The sequence below is a fragment of the Homo sapiens genome, chromosome 17 (genome assembly GCF_000001405.40).
Source record: "Homo sapiens chromosome 17, GRCh38.p14 Primary Assembly".
Classification (NCBI taxonomy): domain Eukaryota; kingdom Metazoa; phylum Chordata; class Mammalia; order Primates; family Hominidae; genus Homo; species Homo sapiens.
In genome coordinates, this window is record NC_000017.11 from 75,644,771 (window position 1) to 75,664,630 (window position 19,860).

At 48.7% G+C, this 19,860-nt stretch overlaps 2 protein-coding genes and 1 long non-coding RNA gene across 9 annotated transcripts in view, besides 3 other annotated features; 2 read left to right on the top strand and 1 right to left on the bottom strand.

Moving 5' to 3' along the window:
• Positions 1–19,860, bottom strand: part of RECQL5 (RecQ like helicase 5) — a 40,301-nt gene that overhangs the window by 17,917 nt on the left and 2,524 nt on the right. For 4 of the 7 annotated variants that reach the window (NM_004259.7, XM_005257818.5, XM_047437085.1 and 1 more), the window contains 5 exons: positions 17,709–18,227; positions 16,836–16,938; positions 16,185–16,296; positions 13,528–13,690; positions 6,416–6,495 (listed from right to left, as the gene is read on the bottom strand). In NM_004259.7, the coding sequence (NP_004250.4) occupies positions 6,416–6,495; positions 13,528–13,690; positions 16,185–16,296; positions 16,836–16,938; positions 17,709–18,227 (977 nt within the window). Of the gene's footprint in view, positions 1–4,082; positions 6,496–13,527; positions 13,691–16,184; positions 16,297–16,835; positions 16,939–17,708; positions 18,228–19,860 lie in introns of those variants that run through there. The other 3 variants (NM_001003715.4, XM_047437092.1, NM_001003716.4) reach the window with 2 other exon arrangements.
• Positions 1,408–1,552: an enhancer, noted in NCBI's record as "145 bp enhancer 181 fragment used in the MPRA reporter construct; PK_construct_261". NCBI's record gives its function as "activates an SV40 promoter by MPRA in HepG2 cells {active_cell/tissue: HepG2}" and the evidence as "EXISTENCE:reporter gene assay evidence [ECO:0000049][PMID:23512712]".
• Positions 1,473–1,486: a transcriptional cis regulatory region, noted in NCBI's record as "HNF1 motif; enhancer activity is reduced when this motif is scrambled". NCBI's record gives its function as "necessary for full MPRA enhancer 181 activity {active_cell/tissue: HepG2}" and the evidence as "EXISTENCE:site-directed mutagenesis evidence [ECO:0005528][PMID:23512712]".
• On the top strand, positions 1,481–3,204 carry ERLN (endoregulin). Its single transcript, NM_001162997.2, has 2 exons — positions 1,481–2,016; positions 2,601–3,204. Exon 2 carries the CDS (start codon positions 2,607–2,609, stop codon positions 2,793–2,795), a length of 189 nt encoding a protein of 62 aa, NP_001156469.1. The 5' UTR covers positions 1,481–2,016; positions 2,601–2,606; the 3' UTR covers positions 2,796–3,204.
• Positions 1,720–1,799: an enhancer, noted in NCBI's record as "active region_12771". NCBI's record gives its function as "activates an Ori minimal core promoter by ATAC-STARR-seq in GM12878 lymphoblastoid cells {active_cell/tissue: GM12878}" and the evidence as "EXISTENCE:reporter gene assay evidence [ECO:0000049][PMID:35858748]".
• On the top strand, positions 5,866–14,088 carry LOC107985013 (uncharacterized). The gene is made up of 3 exons (XR_001753017.1): positions 5,866–6,001; positions 9,521–9,678; positions 13,414–14,088. It is a non-coding gene; the product is annotated as an uncharacterized LOC107985013 (long non-coding RNA).

The following is a 19,860-nucleotide window of genomic DNA, read 5'->3' on the forward strand; positions in this document are numbered from 1 at the left end:
GTGAGCCAAGATCACACCACTGCACTCCAGCCTGGGCTACAGAGTGAGACTCTGCCTCAAAAAAAAAAAAAAAAATTATCCAATTGGGGCCGGCAGTTAATTGAAAGAGCTGGTCAAAGCAACTTTTGTTAAAGAACACCTAAGTTCTCTACACATCTATTACTTTTTTACATATCTCACATTAAATGGAAACATACACCTTTTCCTTGGCCGGCCTTCCTGGCCTTTTCTCTGAGTGTGGGCTTGCCAACCAGAGCTCCTGGATTGCTATCTTCTAGTTTTGGTTGAGTGTGGGCTTGCCAACCACAGCTCCTGGATTGTTATTTTCTAGTTTTGGTTTCTTTAAAGCAGAACAAAAACTTAAAGTCATTGGAACTTAAAGGCAAAGGAAGCTGGGTGTGAAAACCTTCTGGGTTTTTACAAAATGTCCCTGATGTTTAGTTATCATGTCTGCATCTTTTTCAACAGGAACATTATCTGAGTGATTCCAAAGTCATCCCAAAGTAGTCAATAGGTATTTCTAGAAAGAATTTCTTTCTCCACTCGCTCTGAGGTGCAGCACAGGTGCTTCAGCGCTCAGACTGTGTGCTGCTGGATTCAAACTCCAACTCAGTTACTTACTAGCTGATGACCTCGGCTAAGTTATTTAACCTCTCTGTGCCCGTTCCCCACATGTAAAATTGGGGTTTCAGCTATTATTGTTGCTTCATTGGTTCCCGGGATGTTAAATTCAATTATGTAATTACAAGTACAACTGCCATGAACAGGTTTGGGAACCAACACTTGACTCTTGATAAGCATCTGACTTAACTGACGGAGCTGCACGCAAAGGGTGAGCTAGAGACTGGCCCACTGCTGTGAGCGTTCAGCATGCCAAGGGCCTTAGTCAGTAAGTTTCACACAAGGAAACAGAAAACATCAGGTAACCCGGGTCAGTGACGCCCATGATAGTTAAGAACGACTGTTCTAAATCTGCCTCCATCTGTCATCCAACCCTGGCCACACCTGGGGAGAATCACCTGGGGATGTGTAAACAATACGACATCCTGGCAACCCCAGAGACTGATATAAGTGGTACCAGGTGGGGCCTGGGCATTTCTCAAAGCTCCTAGATCTTTACCAGCTGGGATAAGCACCCGAGGGCTAGAAGGGAAGCCCTTGGAGGGCAGGGCCCGCCTCTCTGATCTCACAACTGGACACACAGTGCCTGGCATGGTTCCTGGCCATAGCGGGCCCTCACATCCTAGCTTTTAAAGGAGTATATGGTGGCCACTAGGTTTCAAGCACCAGGGCACAGGCTTGATCCCCTCTTCCCAGCTTCCCTATTGTGCCAGTGGGCAGAAACCAACCACACAATGTTGCTGAGGCCGTGCCCAGGGAGCAGACAAAGGCACCAATGGGAAGCCTCAGGGGGGGAGCAACACTTCCCCCAGAAACAGTTCCAGGAGGCACCAGGCGCCAGCCAGGGCTGCAGTTAATCATTCACCCCACAACACAGGAAGTGAGCCCTACGCCAGTCCCAGCCCCAGGGCTTCCTGAGCTCGGGGCAGGTCCGCAGTCCACACGTCACCCAGACAGAGGACAGCCCAGCCCAGCCACAGGTGAGGCGGCCTGATGGCCTGGGGCAAAGGCCCTCGGTCCAGTCTCTTCCCCGTCCACCCCAAGTCTGACTTCTCTCAGGAGGGACTCATGAACACGTGCCCTGAGCACCCCCAAAATGACATCACACAAGGGCAGAAAGGAGCTGAAGGGGGAACGTGAAAGGCAGAAAGGGAGCCGTGGTTGCCAGGCAACCAGCCCTAGCCCACCTTTGTTTGTTTGGTGACAGCAACTAAGGTCTGGTCAGGGCCGCTTGGCCACGCTCATGCCTTTTCCTCTCAACAGTTGCTTCTTTGAGTCAGGGTGCAGCTCTGGTCACCTGGCGGCCTCTTCAGCTCAGCCCTCCACAAAGTGTGAGCCTGAAGGACCACCCTGAATTGCCCTTGTAGGACCCAGAACAGCTACCAGCAGAATCAGGTAATGGCTCCCTCCTTCTCCACCTGGGCTGCCCTCACCTGGCTATGGGCTTGCAGTCTGCGATAAGGAGCTCCGCTTCTAGAGGACTCCTAAGTTCTATTCTCAGCTGCTCCAAGGAGGCTACCGAGGCCTCAGCTGGAGTTGGCCCCTCCTCGGCTCCTATACGCTCTCTCAAATGCCTCCCAAATGTTTGGCAGTTGGGGCAGGAAAAACAGGGAGACTCTATCATGATGCTTTTTAGATTCTAGCCAAGTAGGTCTCAGGGATGAGAGAGAGTCCTTGCTCACACTTGCTACTCAGGAAAGAAGGACTGGAGAATCCAGGGGCATCCCCTAGGAAGAATCCAGGGCCCCACTTCTTGCGCCAGTCCTGGCTCCTGTATCTAGAGCGGGGGAAATGCCATTTGCTGCTGGCTGCAGGCATCCAGCACAAAGACTCTAGCCCTTTCATGTCCCCTGGCTGCCAGGCGGGCCGGCTGCTCACAGAGGCTGCTACAGAGGCTGGAGTCGGCGGGCAGAGCATAGCACCTGGGACAGGGCCTGGGAGGGCTGCCTGCACTCAGGTCCTCTGTCCCTCTTTTCCAGATTCTCATGGACCAACTGGTATTCAAAGAGACAATCTGGAATGATGCGTTCTGGCAGAACCCCTGGGACCAGGGGGGCCTGGCAGTGATTATCTTATTCATCACCGCTGTCCTGCTTCTCATCTTATTTGCCATCGTGTTTGGTTTACTCACTTCCACAGAAAACACTCAGTGTGAAGCGGGTGAAGAGGAGTGACCTGACTTGCTGGGGACTGAGATGGCAGCAGGGGAGGCGAGCTGACCTGCCCCCATTCCAGTGGTGGGCCCCTTCGCGGTTCCCTCTGGCTCAGGGGCCAAGCCCTGGTGTCTTCCTTTCCCATCAGGAAAAAGTCTAGTAAAATACTGTATCTGGCTTAGGGTTGGTCAGACTAGTAAGATGGGGAGGCTGGTCTGAGACCAATTCTGGCTCCTTGACCCTATTGTTTTTAGGGTTCCCCGACCAGAACCCTAAAAGCACATGGAGAGGATGGCTCCACTGCCTCAGGTGGAAGGAGCTATGGCTAACAAGGTTCTCTAACAGGCTCACAGGCCCAGCCAGCAATTTCACAAATCCTTGACAGAGAAAGACACAACCAAATGAAATAAAAATTCCTTTTCAAATCTGCTAACTTGTGAGAGCTCATTTTTAATCCAGATAGAGCCACCAGAGCAAGCTTCCCGAACAAAGCCGCACCGGGGCCTGCACGCTCTAGCCTGCCTGTCTCCAGCCATCTTGCCCACCCCATCCTGCCCTGCCCCTGGGTTCTCAGCGTGTCTTTCAGTTCTTGAATATGCTGTGTTCTCTCCCACCACAGGGCCTTTGCACATGCTATTCTCATTGACCGGGATGCTCTCCCTCACACCACACTTTACTCTATGGCCTAGTTAGTCCTTCCTCATCCTTTGTATCTCCGTTTGAACCTGACTCCCTCAGGTAAATCTTCCCTAACCCTCAAGGATTAGGGTAAGGCCACTTGTTTTATACTCTCGAAACACCATTTACAGGACTTATATGTCTTTGTTGTTGTTGTTTCTTTGTTTTTGAGACAGAGTCTTGCTCTGTCACCCAGGCTAGAGTGCGGTGGCGCTATCTGGGCTCACTGCAAACTCCACCTCCCGGGTCACGCCATTCTCCTGCCTCAGCCTCCCGAGTAGCTGGGACTACAGGCTCCCACCACCGTGACCGGCTAATTTTTTTGTATTTTTAGTAGAGATGGGGTTTCACCGTGTTAGCCAGGATGGTCTCGATCTCCTCACCTTGTGATCCACCCGCCTCAGCCTCCAAAGTGCTAGGATTACACGCATGAGCCACGGCGCCCGGCCTTTTTTTTTTTTTTTTTTTGAGATGGGGTCTCACTCCCATCACCCAGGCTGCACTGTAGTGGCACCATCTCGGCTCACTGCAGATTCGACTTCTGAGTTTACATGATCCTCCCATCTCAGCCTCCTGAGCAGCTGGGACTACAGGCATGTGCCACCATGCCTGGCTAATTGTGTTTTTTGGTTTTTTTTTTTTGTATTTTTAGTAGAGACAGGGTCTTGCCATGTTGCCCAGGCTGGTCTTGAACTCCCAGGCTCAAGCGATCCTCCCACTTCAGCCTCCCAAAGTGCTGGTATAACAGGTATGAGCCACCATGGCCGGCTCTGGGACGGGGCTATTTCTGCCCACTAGTGTATCCCCCATGTCCAATGTGCCTGGCACAGAGCTGGCATCAGTCAATATTTATCAGCTGAATAAATGAATGAATGAGTAAACACACAGAGAAACAAGAAGATGCCAGGCTGTTGGGCACCCCCAGCCCCAAGATCCCAGGAAACAACAGGGCCCAATTCAATCCAGGTCTAAACACAAGGCTGCTCTTCCATCTCAAGATGCCGAGGCCTCAAGCTGGAGGTTGCTTCAAACCTAATAACTGTTCCCTGTGACACTAAAAGACACTCATTGTTATGAATAATCAAACACTGCTTTTTCAAGGCTGCAGCCCAGAGAAAGTAGCTACAGATAGAGAAGAGAGGAAAACCGCTGGCTGCCACAGCCCCGCCTCATTAGTTAACTGACCTGAGTATCTTTTCTGCTGGTCCCACTCCCATGTGCCTCAGACCCCACAACAAACTGACAAGAAACCTACAGCTTCCTTTGCAGAAATGCACCCACTTCTGCTGAGCCCACCCCACTAGCTCTGTCCCTCACTGCCAGGTGCCCGCCCCAAGGGATCGCTGGTGGGAGGCTGCTTCGACCTCAGCCTCCAATGAGAACTATTCTTAGGAAGCAAATATCTGGTGGAGAAGGGGCTTTTTCTTTGTGCTACACGCCAGTTATGCAATAAAGAAACATTCACTTATTCAAAGAACAGTAGCCAATACAGACATACCAGCAGCGTTTATTCCAGCCTGCTGCCTGGATTTCAGAATCATCACATGTAGCAAAGGAGACAGGCACGAGGCTGCTCAAGAGGCAGCGCAACACCGTCACCTGGACTCCTTGAGTCCACAGATGCCTGGACCCCAGCCCCTGGCAACCAGGCCACTGATGCACTAAGAAGTCCCAGCTCCCCGGAAGGTGACAGGAGAAATGAAGGCAGAGGCCCTTGGGAGGACCTGTTCCCTTGCCTGGCAGGCGGAGCAGACCCTGGGGACAGGCAGAGTTAACCCTCCAGAGAGCATTCCAGAGCCTCAGACAGCCCCAGAGCTTTTTTCAGCAAACAGGACTCACAATGAACAGGAACACTTGGCCCTTTCATTCCTCACCAGAAATAAGAGCTCTGCTCAAGAAGCCTAAGAAGGCCAAATTTAGCAACTCCCATATTAATTGTGCTTGAAAAGGGCTCTGGTCGCAAAGGCTGCAGGCAAGGGTGGTCCTGGCACTGCAGCCGACCACTTTTGCTGGGCGTGGTCTTGCCACAGAGGCCAAATTAGAGACAGCAGTTTGGAGAAGAAAATAGCTTCAGTCCAGAAGCCACCGACTCACTGGTCAACAGGAGGAGGTGGAAATAAAAACACACAGCCCAAAGAGTTTCTCTGATTTCCTCGCTTTTTTCTTGCAAAAACCAAGATGGCCCAGGTGTATGCAAATGAGGACGCCACTGAAAATCAGGAGACGGGTGTTTAGTGGCCTCAGTCTACCATGAGCTTCGTGACTGTGACCTCTCTGGACCTCAATTTATTCACCTCTAAGTCTGAAGCAATCACGTCAGCGTCATCCGACAGGATCATTCCATGAGATGAGATGAATCCAAGAGCTTTTTAGACCAAAATGTAAAAACTCCTCCTGGGTGTCTCTCCTGCAGGCACTCACAGCTCCGCATGCCTGGACACAACCTGACTACACCAAGCAGCCCTCAGACTCTTTCCGTGGCCCCTGCCCCATCGCCTGCAGATGCAGGTAAAACAGATGCGTGAGTTCAAAGCACATGACTCCCCGAGGTAAGTGGGGCCACAGGCTTCTGTGTGGGTCCTGGATAAGGGTGAGGACTACTCAAGTGATGCCAGAAGTCCCAGCTCGGTGGCACATGATGACCACAAAGCCGATGGCTCAGAGCTGGTCACATCCCTTGGAACTGAGTGGCTTGTGGGGCCAGCCATCCCAGAAGAGGGTGGAGTGGAGGGAAGGACACCACTCAGAATACTGAGCAAATCCCCACACTGCGAGAGATCCCGGGGCCTCCAATAGAGAAGAGCAAGGTCCTGACTTCCACACTGCCCGACACAACAGCCTTTGCAGGCAGGTGTCCCTTGGTAGCCTACGGGCTGTCTTATGTCAGCTGCTTAACTAGGGCGTGCCGGGGAAGTAAATGATCTCACTGACACTTTGCTCCACATATAAAATAAGTCACTTACCCCAGTTCTTCACAGAAGGTCACCAGGGCATCAAAGGCCATGATAGTGGCTTTATCAGATGCTTTGTTTCCTCTCTTTTCCTGGGGACAAAAAATGACCACTTAGCAAGTCTTATAGAATTGGACTACCTTAGAGCCACAAAAAGTAATGAGGAGGCCGAGTGCGGTGGCTCACGGCTGTAATCCCAGCACTTTGGGAGGCTGAGCCAGGAGGATCATTTGAGGTCAGGAGTTCGAGACCAGCCTGACCTACATGGTGAAACCCTGTCTCTACTAAAAATACAAAAAAATTAGCCAGGTGTGGCAGCGCATGCCTGTAGTCCCAGCTACTTGGGAGACTGAGGCAGAAGAATCACTTGAACCCAGGAGGTGGAGGTTTCAGCAAGCTGAGATCATGCCACTGCACTCCGTCTCAAAAACAAAAAAAAGTAACAAGGGAGAAAAATATTAAATGACAGTAATAAAGCCATTTACAAAAGTGTCCCCAAACCTGACTATGTATCATAACCCCCAGACTACTGAACTGAATTTTCTGGGATGAGCTTTTGAGAGTTTCCGAAAAGCTTCTCAGGAGGTTCTCATGCAAAGGGCCCACAGACTGGCATTTAGGAAGCGCTATATAATATCACCTATTTTAATAATAGTAAATACACGCACAAATGTTGTGAACTTAACAAATATGAACACATATACTTCTGTGTATATTGGAGGGAGATATATTAAAAGGTTAAGTGACTCTTCTTGATAAGCTTAAAACATGAATTTAAAATACAATTTAAAACCTGTAATCCCAGCACTTTGGGAGACTGAGGTGGGCGGATCACCTGGGGTCAAGAGTTCGAGACCGGCCTTGCCAACATGTTGAAACTCCATCTCTACTAAAAATACAAAAATTAGCCAGGCATGGTGGTGCATGTCTGTGATCCCAGGTACTCAGGAGGCTGAGGCAGGAGAATCACTTGAACCCGGGAGGCAGAGGCTGCAGTGAGCTGAGATCGTGGCACTGCACTCCAGCCTGGGCAACAGAGCAAGACTCCATCTCAAATAAAATAATAAAATAAAATAAAATAATGCTTGACCTGCCGACTCAGAAACCCATGTGGGGTGGGGGTGGGCAGCTGCCAGCTACACCAGGAGAGCAAGATTCCCAAGCCCTTCAGTTGGCACCCAAGGGGCCAGTGTGCACCACTTGGATCACACAACCAGAAAACAGGAGGACCCCAAAGGTTTCCTGAGTCTCTACTTACCAGGGAGGCTGTGTGCGGCCCTGCCAGCTCATGCCTGAGCACAGCATCCCAGATGGGGCAGAGCAGGGTACGGCTGGGCAGGGGAGGTGGGCTCTGGAAGGTGCTAATGGTAGCAGACAGGGTGTTGCCTCCTGCCTGCAGGTAGGGAGCACCCTGAATGAGCGGGCTGAGCTGGGCTGGTCACCAGGCCTGGACCCACAGCTCCTTTGGCTATGGACTAATATCAGAGGAGTGGCTTATGGGAAGTGGATAGCAGGAAGCGCTGAGGCCTGGCTCCTGAGCGCAGGGTAAAGCTGGGGGAAGGAGATGGTACTGTGAAGGCAGATAAAGGGGCAAGAGCCTCAGGTTTCTGTCCCCCACCCCACTTCCCTGGGGCTTTCCAAACCAAAGCCTGCAACTAACTTAAAAGGAAGAAAAAGCACTTAAGTTACCAACAACTACCAAACTCCCCCAAAGCCCCTCTCACAAAATCCAAACTGTTTTCTCATCTCCACTCCTGCCTCCCCCACACAATATAGTTTCCTGTTTTCTTTTTAAAATGTTGCCTGCCACCTCTCCACCTGGGAAACCCAAGGCATGACTGCCGGTTGCTGGTGACAGGCACACAGCAGGCAGAGCCCCATCTTTGGTGGTGGGGCGGAGGGAGGTGGGGGCACCAGTCCCTGCCACATCCTCAATCCGCAGACACTCATCAGCCAGCCTTCCCTTTGGCTCCCACTAGAGGGGAGTAGGGCAATAGCAGGTGGTCCCCACAGCTGAGCAACAACAGCTCCAGGCCTTCCCACCAGGAAGACCTCTGCACCCTTATCCAATTCAAAGTACAGGCTCACCTTGGGCCAGGAACCACTATTAGGTAAGGAATGGGCACTATACATTTCAAATGTGGACACCTGGTCAGGGCAGTGGAACTCTAAAGATGGCAGCCAACTTCCTTCCTTGCCCATTCCTGGAGGTAATTCCCCTCTTAGTGACCGAAGCTCTGGTGCAGCTCTGCTCAGAGACCGTTCCTGGCTTCACTCTGTTATAAGCCTGTCTATGGACTTGTGGCTGAATCAACTAGCAGAATACTGAGCATTTGTGAGTGATGTGATTATTCATCAGCGGCCTTTTTTGTGTACATGTCTATTTGCCAACATATCCTTTTAAAATACTGTGAATTATTTAATACAGAAAAGGAAAAAAAGAGCCCGGGCATGGTGGCTTATGCCTGTAATCCCAGAACTTTGGGAGGCTGAGGTAGGTGGATCACTTGAGGTCAGGAGTTCGAGACCAGCCTGGCCAATGTGGTGAAACCTGTCTCTACTAAAAATACAAAAATTAGCCAGGCGTGGTGGTGGGCGCCTGTAATCCCAGTTACTTGGGGGGCTGAGGCATGAAAATTGCTTGAACCTGGGAGATGGAGAATGCAGTGAGCTGAGATTGCACCACTGCACTCCAGCCTGCACGACAAAGACTGTCTGAAAAACAAAACAAAACAAAACAAAACAAAAAAAAAACCCCAAAAAAACAAAAACCAGACACTGATATCTGAGACATCATCTATTGAGTTTCTGCTTTGGGCAGGTAACTCATCCCCACCAATACACACAAATACACACAGATTCTGTACCCCCAACTTCCCAATATGTTTACAACACAATTTCTTATTAAATCCATATTTTCCTTATTATGACTATGTCAACAGAGTTCACAGCTAAACCGAAGTGATTGCATTTTTATATTTCCTGTGATCACATTTCCTTTCTTGTGTAACTGTGTTTCCCCTGAAATAGCTTTGTTTTTCTCCATTTACTTAGATTTCAGTATGTTATTAATTCACCCCTAACTGTCCTAACATAATGAACAATTCATTTCGATAGGAGCCAGAGATGCCAGCTTCCACTTTGATGTTTAGAACCTTCCTTCCTGGAGTCTTCTGCCCCCTAGTGCAATCTGGACCAGTTTTCCCTAGGCCTGGGACACAGCTGTCTTTCCGGACTACTCTCCAATATTGTCCTGTGCCAAGACTTACTCCTGGGTAAGTTTCCATCTTTGCTTTCTAGGTTTACTGCCTCTCTACAATGGAGAACATCCTTTAATAGCTTCTGAGACATGACATACCAGGGGAAAGTTTTTGAAACCTTTGTTATCTGAAGATGTCTTTTTTTTCCTTCAAGTTTCCACATACAGCATTGCATTTTTATTTGTTTATTTATTTATTTTTTTGGAGACAGAGTCTTGCTCTGTCACCCAGTCTGGAGTGCAGTGGCATGATCATAACTCACTGCAGCCTTGAATTCCTAGGCTCAAGCAATCCTCCCAGCTCAGCATCCTGAGTAGCTAGAACTACAGGCGCACATCACCATGCTCAGCTAATTTTTTTTATTATTATTAGTTTTTGAAACAGGGTCTCACTCTGTTACCCAGGTTGGAGTGCAATGGTATGATCTCAGCTCACTGCAGCCTTGACCTCCTGGACTCAAGTGATCCTCCCACCTCAGCCTCTTGCGTAGCTGGAACTACAGGTGCATACCACTACACCCAGCTAATTTTTAAATATTTTGTAGAGATAAAGTCTTGTTACATTGCCCAAACTACTCAAACTCCTGGCCTCAAGAGATCCTCCCATGTCATTCTCCCGAAGTGTTGGGATTACAAGCATGAGCCACCTCACCCAGCCTAACATTTTTAAACATGTCATTTGATAAATTTTTCTGGGAACTTTCTTTTCATATTATTTGCTTTTCATATCCTTTGTTCAAGCGATTTTCCTACTTCAGCCTCCCGAGTAACTGGGATTACAGGAGCCCGCCACCACGCGCGGCTAATTTTTGTATTTTTAGTAGAGACGGGGTTTCACCATGTTGGCCGGCTGGTCTCGAACTACTGGCCTCAAGTGATCCGCTCGCCTTGGCCTCCCAAAGTGCTGGGATTACAAGCATGAGCCCCTGCGCCTGGCCTTTTTTTTTTTGAGACAGAGTCTCGCTCTATCACCCAGGCTGGAGTGCAGTGGTGCAATCTGGGCTCACTGCAAGCTCCGCCTTCCGGGTTCATGCCATTCTCCTGCCTCAGCCTCCCGAGTAGCTGGGACTACAGGCGCCCGCCACGACGCCCAGCTAATATTTTTGTATTTTTAATAGAGATGGGGTTTCACCATGTTAGCCAGGATGGTCTTGATCTCCTGACCTCGTGATCTGCCCACCTCGTCCTCCCAAAGTGCTGGGATTACAGGCGTGAGCCACCGCACCTGGCCTTTTTAATTTTTATTTTTATTTTGAGACAGGGTCTCACTTTGTCGCCCAGGCTGGAGTGCGTCCTCCACTCCATGGTATGATCTCAGCTTACCGCAACCTCAACCTCCTAGGTTCAAGTGATTCTCCCACCTCAGCCTTCCCAGTAGCTGGGACTACAGGTGTGTGCCACCATGCTTGGCTAATTTTTGTATTTTTTTTGTTAGAGACGGGCTTCACTATGTTGGGCCGGATGGTCCTGAACTCCTAACCTCAGGTGATCTGCCTGCCTTGGCCTCCCAAAGTGCTGGGATTACAGGCAAGAGCCACTGCTCCTGGCCCCAGAGCTTGTTTTCTCTTGGTGAGATTTTAGTTTTCTTCATCTAAATCAGTGGTTGTCAACCCTGGCCATATATTCAAAGCAACTGGGGAGCTTTTTTTGGTTTATTTTGAGACCGACTTTCACTCTTGTTGCCCAGGCTGGAATGCAATGGCGCGATCTCGGCTCACCACAACCTCCACCTCGTGGGTTCAAGTCATTCTCCTGCTTCAGCCTCTTCCAAGTAGCTGGGATTACAGGCATGCGCCACCACACCTGGCTAATTTTGCATTTTTTTAGTAGAGACGGGGTTTCTCCATGTTGGTCAGGCTGGTCTCAAACTCCCGACCTCAGGTGATCTGCCCGCCTCAGCCTCCCAAAGTGCTGGGATTACAGGCGTGAGCCACCGCACCCAGCCTACTGGGGAGCTTTTTGAAAAAAACTCGTGTTAACAGCTTGTAACACTTATTCCTAAGTATTTTATAAGTTTTATTGTTGTAAATTAAGTTTTTTTTTTGTTTCTATTTCTAGGTATTTATGGTAATGTGGAGAAAAGCTACTGATTTTTTTTTTCCTTGGCTCTCATCTGACTAGAGAAAAGCTACTGATCTTTAAACTATTTCTCTTATATTCAACCAGTTTGCCAGATTTTCTTATGATTGAGTAGATTTCTAGTAGGGTTTTTGTGTTTCTAGGCACAATGTGTTGTCATTTCTACCTGCTGTTGTCTTCTCTCCTACTTTCATTATCCTTGCGAATTTATGTATATTTATCCTTCTATTGTCTTTTTTTTTTTTTTTTTTGAGACAGAGTCTCACTCTGTCCCCCAGGCTGGAGTGCAGAGGCGTGATCTCGGCTCACTGCAAGCTCTGCCTCCTGGGTTCACGCCCTTCTCCTGCCCCAACCTCCCAAGTAGCTGGGACTACAGGCGCCCGCCACCACGCCCGGCTAATTTTTTGTATTTTTAGTAGAGACGGGGTTTCACCGTGTTAGTCAGGATCGTCTTGATCTCCTGACCTCGTGATCCACCCGCCTCGGCCTCCCAAAGTGCTGGGATTACAGGCGTAAGCCATCGCGCCCGGCCCCTTTATTGTCATTTTGGCAGAGATTAGAAATAAGTACTTATAGGCTGGACACGGTGGCTCACGCCTGTAATCCCAGCACTCTGGGAGCCTAAGGTGGGAGGCTCACTTGAGCTCAGGAGTTTGAGACCAGCCTGGGTAACATAACAAGAGCTCGTCTCTACAAAACAAACAAACAAAAAACAAGGGAAGATTAAGCCAGGTGCAGTGGCACATGCCTCTGGTCCCAGCGACTTGAGAGGCAGAGGCAGGAGGATCACTCGAGCCCAGGAGTTCGAGGGTATACTGTGCTATGATTACGCCTGTGAATCACCACTGCACTTGAGCCTGAGCAACACAGAGAGACCCCATCTCTTTAACAAAAGAAACAAGGCAGTACTGATCTTGACCACATAAAATAACATGTACACAAAAGACAATATTAAGGCCGGGAGCAGTAGCTCACACCTGTAATCTCAGTAGTTTGGGAGTTTGAGGCAGGAGGATTACTTGAGCCCAGGAGTCATGAGACCAGTCTGGGCACCATAGTGAAACCCCATCTCTGCCAAAAACTGAAAAAAAAATTAGCTGGGCGTGGTGGCACACACCTGTGGTCCCAGCTACTCAAGGTGGGAAGATTATTTATGGCCAGGAGTTAGAGGCTGCTGTGAACCATGACTATGCTACTGCACTTTAGCCTGGGTGACAGTGAGAGACCTTGTCTCTTAAAAAAAAAAAAAAAAAAAAAGGTGGGCACAGTGGCTCATGCTTGTAACCCCAACACTTTGGGAGGCCGAGGCAGGCGGATCACGAGGTCATGAGATCGAGACCATCCTGGCCAACATGGTGAAACCCTGTTTCTACTAAAAATACAAGAATTAGCTGGGCATGGTGGCATGCACCTGTAATCCCAGTTACTCAGGAGGCTGAGGCAGAAGAATCGCTTGAACCCGGGAGGCGGAGGTTGCAGTGAGCCGAGTTCATGCCATTGCACTCCAGCCTGAGCGACGGAGTGAGACTCTGTCTCAAAAAAAAGAAAAAAGAAAAAAAGCTAGTATTAAGATAATTTAAATATTTAAATATTTAGAAAGAAAAAGTCTAACCTAGCTTGTTGTAAGCTGCCTACCTAACCAATACGCCATTTCCCTTTGCTATACTTACAGGTTGGGAGCAGCCTCCTCTAGCTTACACAAGCATCATCAGAGTTCAGAAATCAGCTTCACAAAACTGGAGAGTGGTGGGTCAGACTGAAAGACCTTCTACTGCCCAAGCCTTACCTGGAGTTTTGCTACTTCCTTCCTGATCAGGAAGCTGACTTGGTCCCGGTCATTCCTGGAGTAATAGAGACGGCACCAGGAAGGCTTCCCATCCCTGCCAGCCCGGCCAGACTCCTGGTAGTACCCAGCCATAGACTTGGCAATATTCCAATGGGCGACAAACCTGTAGGATCCAAAGGGACAAGCAGCATGAGATGGTGGAGAAGCTGAGTGTCCTTTGGAGGAGTAATCATGACTAGGAGAGCAGGGAGGCCAGCAGATAGGGAGGGAGAGGGATAGTCCCAGAGTTAGAATAGTTAAGACACCTGTAGCCCATCAGCACGTCTCCCTTCTAGAAGCAGCCCAGCTTAGAGGCCACAGCAGGAGTTAAGGGGGGGCAAATCCAGCACATATGAGGGGCCAAAAAACTCAGCCAGGGCCCAGTGGAAAAAATACTGGACCTAAAGAAACAAAATGAGGCTCTGCCACTTATGAGCTATGCAAATTTGAATAAGTTATTTATAACTTCTTTGGAGAGGGAAAGGAATAATATTTATTAAATACCTCCTATGTGCCAGTTTATATATGTCTCATTTAATTGTTAGTCACCATCATGTGAGGTAGCCCATTCTCCAGAATATGAGATTCAGAAAGGTAAATTTGTACAAGGTTACACAGTAAAGGGTCAGCAGAGCTAGAATTTGGGCCTAGGGGTGTCTGCCTTCAAAACTGGCTCTTAACAAGATACCACAGACCCAGGATTCATTTTATTTATTTTGCTTGTTTTTTATTTTATTTTATTTTTAGATGGAGTCTTGCTCTGTCACCAGGCTGGAGTGCAGTGGAGTGATCTCAGCTCACTGCAACCTCCACCTCCCGGGTTCAAGCGATTCTCCTGCCTCAGCCTCCTGAGTAGCTGGGACTACAGGTGGGCGCCACCATGCCCAGCTAATTTTTGTATTTTTAGTAGAGACGGGGTTTCACCATGTTAGCCAGGATGGTCTCAATCTGTTGACCTCATGATCCGCCTGCCTCGGCCTCCCAAAGTGCTAGGATTACAGGCATAAGCCACTGTGCCCGGCCTTGTTTTTTATTTTTCAAGACAGGGTCTTGCTCTGTTGCACACGCTAGAGTACAGTGGCACAATCACAGCTCATTGCAGCCTCAACCCCCGGCCTCAAGCAATCCTTCCACCTCGGCTTCCCAAGTATCCAGGACTACAGGCACATGCCACTATACCTGGCTAATTTTTAATTTTATAGAGATGGAGTCTTGCTATGTTGCCCAGGCTGGTCTCGAACTCCTGGGCTCAAGCAATCCTCCCATCTGGTCCTCCCAAAGTGCTGGAATTATAGGTGTGAACCACTACACCTGGCAGCATACCCAGGGTTCGAACTCTGATTCTGAAGTCGGTGTTCTTTCAAATGTAACGCACTATAAAATTTCGTCCCTAACTCAGGGTCACTGTGAGGTTCACGAAGACCATGTATGCAAACATGCTCCGTAAATCATACAAGGTATTATTATTTGTCGTTAATCAGACCAAAGGGCTTCAGGCTGTAGCCCAAAACGCCTCTTGAAGGTCATGGCCAGATATAAAAGACTTCCTATTAGTTGCCAGTGTGGGGCTAGGAGGCTGGGATGCACCCCGACTCTTCTAGACTATTAGTAAGCAATAAAAAGGAATGATGGTTCTAAGAGCCTTGCCTTTGACCTTCCACAGGGAGTAGCTTAAAATACAGTCACACATTACTTAATGATGGGAATACATATTGTGTTTTGGTTTTTGGTGTTTTTGTTTGTTTTTTAAGACAGGGTCCTGGTCTGTTGCCCAGCCTGAAGTGCAGTGGCATGATCTCAGCTCACTGCAACCTCCGCCTCCCGGGCTCAAGCAATCCTCCCACCTCAGCCCCCCAAGTAGCTGGGACTACAGGCACGCACCACCACACCTGGCTAATTTTTATGTATTTTTTGTAGAGATGGAGGTTTGGCCACGTTGCCCAAGCTGGTCTCAAACTCGTGAACTCAAGCGATCCACCTGCCTTGGCTTCCCAAAGTGCTGGGATTACAGGTGTGGACCACTGTGCCCGGCCAGGGATACGTTCTGAGAAATGACTTGTTAGGCAATTTCATCATTGTGCAAACATTACGGTGGATAGTCTTTACATAAATCTAGATGGTACTGCAGCCTGCACAGCTAGGCTGTAAACATGTATCGAGTGTTAACTGCACTGAATATTGTAGGCAACTGTAATGCAAATCACTAGGCCATAAGAATTTTTCAACTCCATTACAATCTTACAGGATCTCAGTCTATGCAGTCTGTCATTGACCGAAACATCAACATGAGGTGCATGACTATAGTTCCTTTATTCCCACCTCCTCATAGGATCCACCTACTGAGATGTGAGTGAACAGGACTATGTTAAAGGACAAGCCTGACAGACTGCATGCTGCCCCATCCTGGGGGGTGCCAGAACCATGCCGTGCAGTCACCTGGGAGCAGGCCGCACAGGAGCTGTCAGCATTCAGGCTGTATTCTAAGGACTCTCTCCTGGAGCTTCCTTCCCCTCTAGCCCTCGAAGGAGCACATGCACCTGGTCCTTTGGGCACAGCACTAGGCAATCCACCCTGAGCCAGGCCCAGACCAGGAGGGCAGGGCAAGAACCAAAGCTCACCTGACATTGGCTTTATCCACTCCCATCCCAAAACTAATGGTTGCAACAATTACAGGGACCTTCTCCTCCATCCAGTCGTTCTGCACCAGCGTTCTTTCAGAGGCCTTCAGCCCTGTAAAGGAGGGGAAGATGGAGAAGGGAACTCACATTTCCCTTGGGTTTACCGGGGGCCTATTTTGGGTTTGACACTGTGTGCTAGGCACTTCACAAACCCTGAATCTTTCACTTCCCAGCTGTCTGACCTTAACATCAGGCGCTTAACTTTACTGAGCCTCAGCTGACAGGCACAAAGACCCTAGCCCATGTGTGGCACAGAGCATTTGGCAAAGGTTAGGGCCATGATTCAAGCCCAAGTCCGTTGGCCTCCAAAGCCTGTGCTCTTCCTACAACACCATTACCTTGGCTTGTAAAAACGTATCACCTGCTGCTGGGTAGGCATACAGTGGGAAGAACTCAGGAGTCACAATTCTCATTTTAGACCTCATTCATGTCTAGACTCCTTTTAGGGGATTTAAGTGTATCACTTTAGCTCTGCCTGAGTATCTGCAATAAGATGGTGGGTCACCTGATAACCAGGATCTGTAAAGAACAAGAGACCAGCTAAGAAGCCTCTGAGGGTGAAGAGACTCAAGTGGCCTGGGTGCCCCTTACCTGCATGGTAAGCCTTGGCGTTCACACCCCTGCAGCTGAGCTCTATGGCCAGCTGTTCACAAGCCTCTCTAGTCCTGCAGTACACAATGCCGCAGCCAGATAACTGAATGGGGAGATGCAGGAAGAAAATAAGCATAGCAAGAACAGAACAATAGGCCCAGTGTAATGCACCCTGCTCTAAAAGAAGCTCTGTGTTCCTTCTCTCGTCGGCTTCAGTCTCTTCTGAGGCAGGACACCCAGTGAGGCTCTGTCACTTTATAAAAAGCAGGACCAGGCTGGATGCAATGGTTCATGCCTGCAATCCCAGCACTTTGGGAGGCCAAGGTGGGGGGAATCACTTGAGGCCAGGAGTTAGAGACCAGCCTGGGCAACACGGAGAAACCCCGTCTCTGCTAAAAATACAAAATTAACCGGGAGTGGTGGCGCATGCCTGTAATCCCAGCTACTTGGGAGGCTGAGGCAGGAGAATCGCTTGAACCCAGGAGGCGGAGGTTGCGGTGAGCCAAGATTGCGCCATTGCACTCCAGCCTGGGCAACAAGAGCAAAACTCCATCTCAAAAAAAAAACAGGCCAAAAGCTGCTCAAAACTCAACCTGTTTAACTTCTCTGCCTCCTCTTCATGAGCTTTGCATGGGTCTGCAGAGGCATCACACAGACTGGCTGGCTGCTTGCCTTCCACAGGATCCAGAACAAGGAAACCCTGGTAAGGAGGACAATGCCAGGAAACCAAAGAGACAACTCTTTTTGTGCACAAGTTTTAGGAAGCCTGGCTGAGAAAGCTAGAAAAACCAAAGGTCTTAGACTAATCTCCATCTCCATCACATCGCACCCCACTGCTCTAACAGCTGCTTGGCCTCCACCTCAATGCCTCACCCCTTTATCAGCCTCCTGTCCAAGAGCCTTAAGGCAGAAGTCCTTCAGGTTCCCATAGGGATCAGAAATCAGTTCCTTGAATTGCACATCATAGAAGAGGTTGGCCCGGAAGCAGGGAGTCTTGAAGATGGCAACTGGTTTCTTCAGGTGCAGGGCAGCAAACACGTCCTCTTGGACCTGTGGGGTGGCTGTGGCGGTCAGAGCCACACAAGGGGCATGTCCCAGGCGGGAGCGCAGGGCACCCAGACGCAAGTAGTCAGGACGAAAGTCATGCCCCCATTGGGAAACACAATGAGCTTCATCCACCACCAAGTAAGACAGCAGGTGGCGGGACACCAGGGAGTTCAGGGTGGGCTGGAAGGAGGATGAAGCTGCCATCTCTGGGGTGATGTACAGAATCTTGGTCTGGGGCTTTTCTCGCTCCAGGTCAGCAAGCAGCTCCTTCCTTTCCTGTGCAGAGAGCTTCGAGTTCAGGGAACTTACTCGTACCTTTAGGGTTAGCAAGTGGTCCACTTGGTCCTAAGAGAAGAGAAAGAGGCTGTAACTGGCCCTCAGGACTCAGGTAAACATCACTGCAAGTCCCTGGAGGATTTCCCAGTCATAAACTGTCCTCCTCCCACCCTCCAATATATATTCTCTTTGCATAGAAGTAGTAGAGGTTGAATATCCTTTATCAAATGCTTGGGACCAAAAGTGTTCTAGATTTCAGATATTCCTGGATTTAGGAATATTTGCAGATTGCATATACATAATGAGATCTCTTAAAGATGAGACCCAAGTCTGAACATGAAATTCATTTTTTCTTTCACGTATACCTTATACATATAGCCTAGATGTAATTTTATATATTTTTAATAATTTTGACATGACGTTGTGCACATGTACCTAGAACTTAAAGTATAATAAAAAATATATATTAAAAATAATAATAATAATTTTGTGCATGAAAAAACAGTTTTGGCTGAGTTTTGACCGCAACCCATCACATGAGGTCAGAAAGGTGTGGAACTTTCCACTTGTGGAATCACGTCAGCACTAAAATTTTTTGGATTTTGGAGCATTTCAGATTTCAGATTTTTGCTTTAGGGATGCTCAATCTCTATGGAAGGTGAAGTGGTTTAGAGCACAGGCTCTGAAGTCAGACAGACTTCAGATTTAGATTTCATCCTGGCTCACTTAATCGCCACATGCTCGCTGGCTGTTTCTTACCCTCTGAACGATTTATACAATTCTATCTAATAGCATTGTTGTATAACTTAAAATTTACATCTGAGAGGTGAAATTAACGTATGTAAGCCGGGCGCGGTGGCTCACACCTGTAATTCCAGCGCTTTGAGAGGCTGAGGCGGGCAGATCACCTGAGGTCAGGAGTTCGAGATCAGACTGACCAATATGGTGAAACCCTGTCTCTACTAAAAATACAAAATTAGCCAGGCATGGTGGCGCATGCCTGTAATCCCAGCTACTCGGGGGACTGAGGCAGGAGAACTGCTTGAACCCGGGAGGCGGAGGTTGCGGTGAGCCGAGAACACGCCATTGCACTCAAGCCCGGGCAACAAGAGCGAAACTCCATCTCAAAAAAAAAAAAAAAAAAAGAAAGAAAGAAATTAATGTATGTAAAGCACTTAGCACGAAGCCTGGGACCTGGTGAACATTCACCAAGTTATTACTGTAGTTCCCTCTCTACCTTCCTTCATGGTGGATGGCTCTTACCCACACAGCCACACTTCCTCAATTCTGATTCTATCAGCCCATCTGCAGGCCTTAAATAGTCAGAACACCTGTAGAGCAGATGTTAATAAGGTCCCAGACAGTTTCTCATCTTTTTTTCTGTTTCACATACTGTGCCCTTACCAAAATAAGCAGGACACCAGGGATTCCCCATATCAACTTAGCTATCTATCCATCTGCAACTTCTGTCTCAACATCACGAGTGCACGTGTGTGTATACATGAGACTGAGTGTATATGTGTGTACAAATACAGTTTCATACTCCTCTGAACAAAAAAATAACAAAGGAGGGTGAGGGACCTCAGAGGAGTCATTCATAACCTCCCAGAGTGATATGCACCAGTGGAGAACACTACATTGGGGAAATACAGAAACCCAATATAGCGAATGAGATAGGCAAATCATAGAAAATAAGAGGCAG

Bases quoted from the DNA above. Each gene is read 5' to 3' on its own strand.
- ERLN (NM_001162997.2), top strand. From the start codon at position 2,607: ATGGACCAACTGGTATTCAAAGAGACAATCTGGAATGATGCGTTCTGG.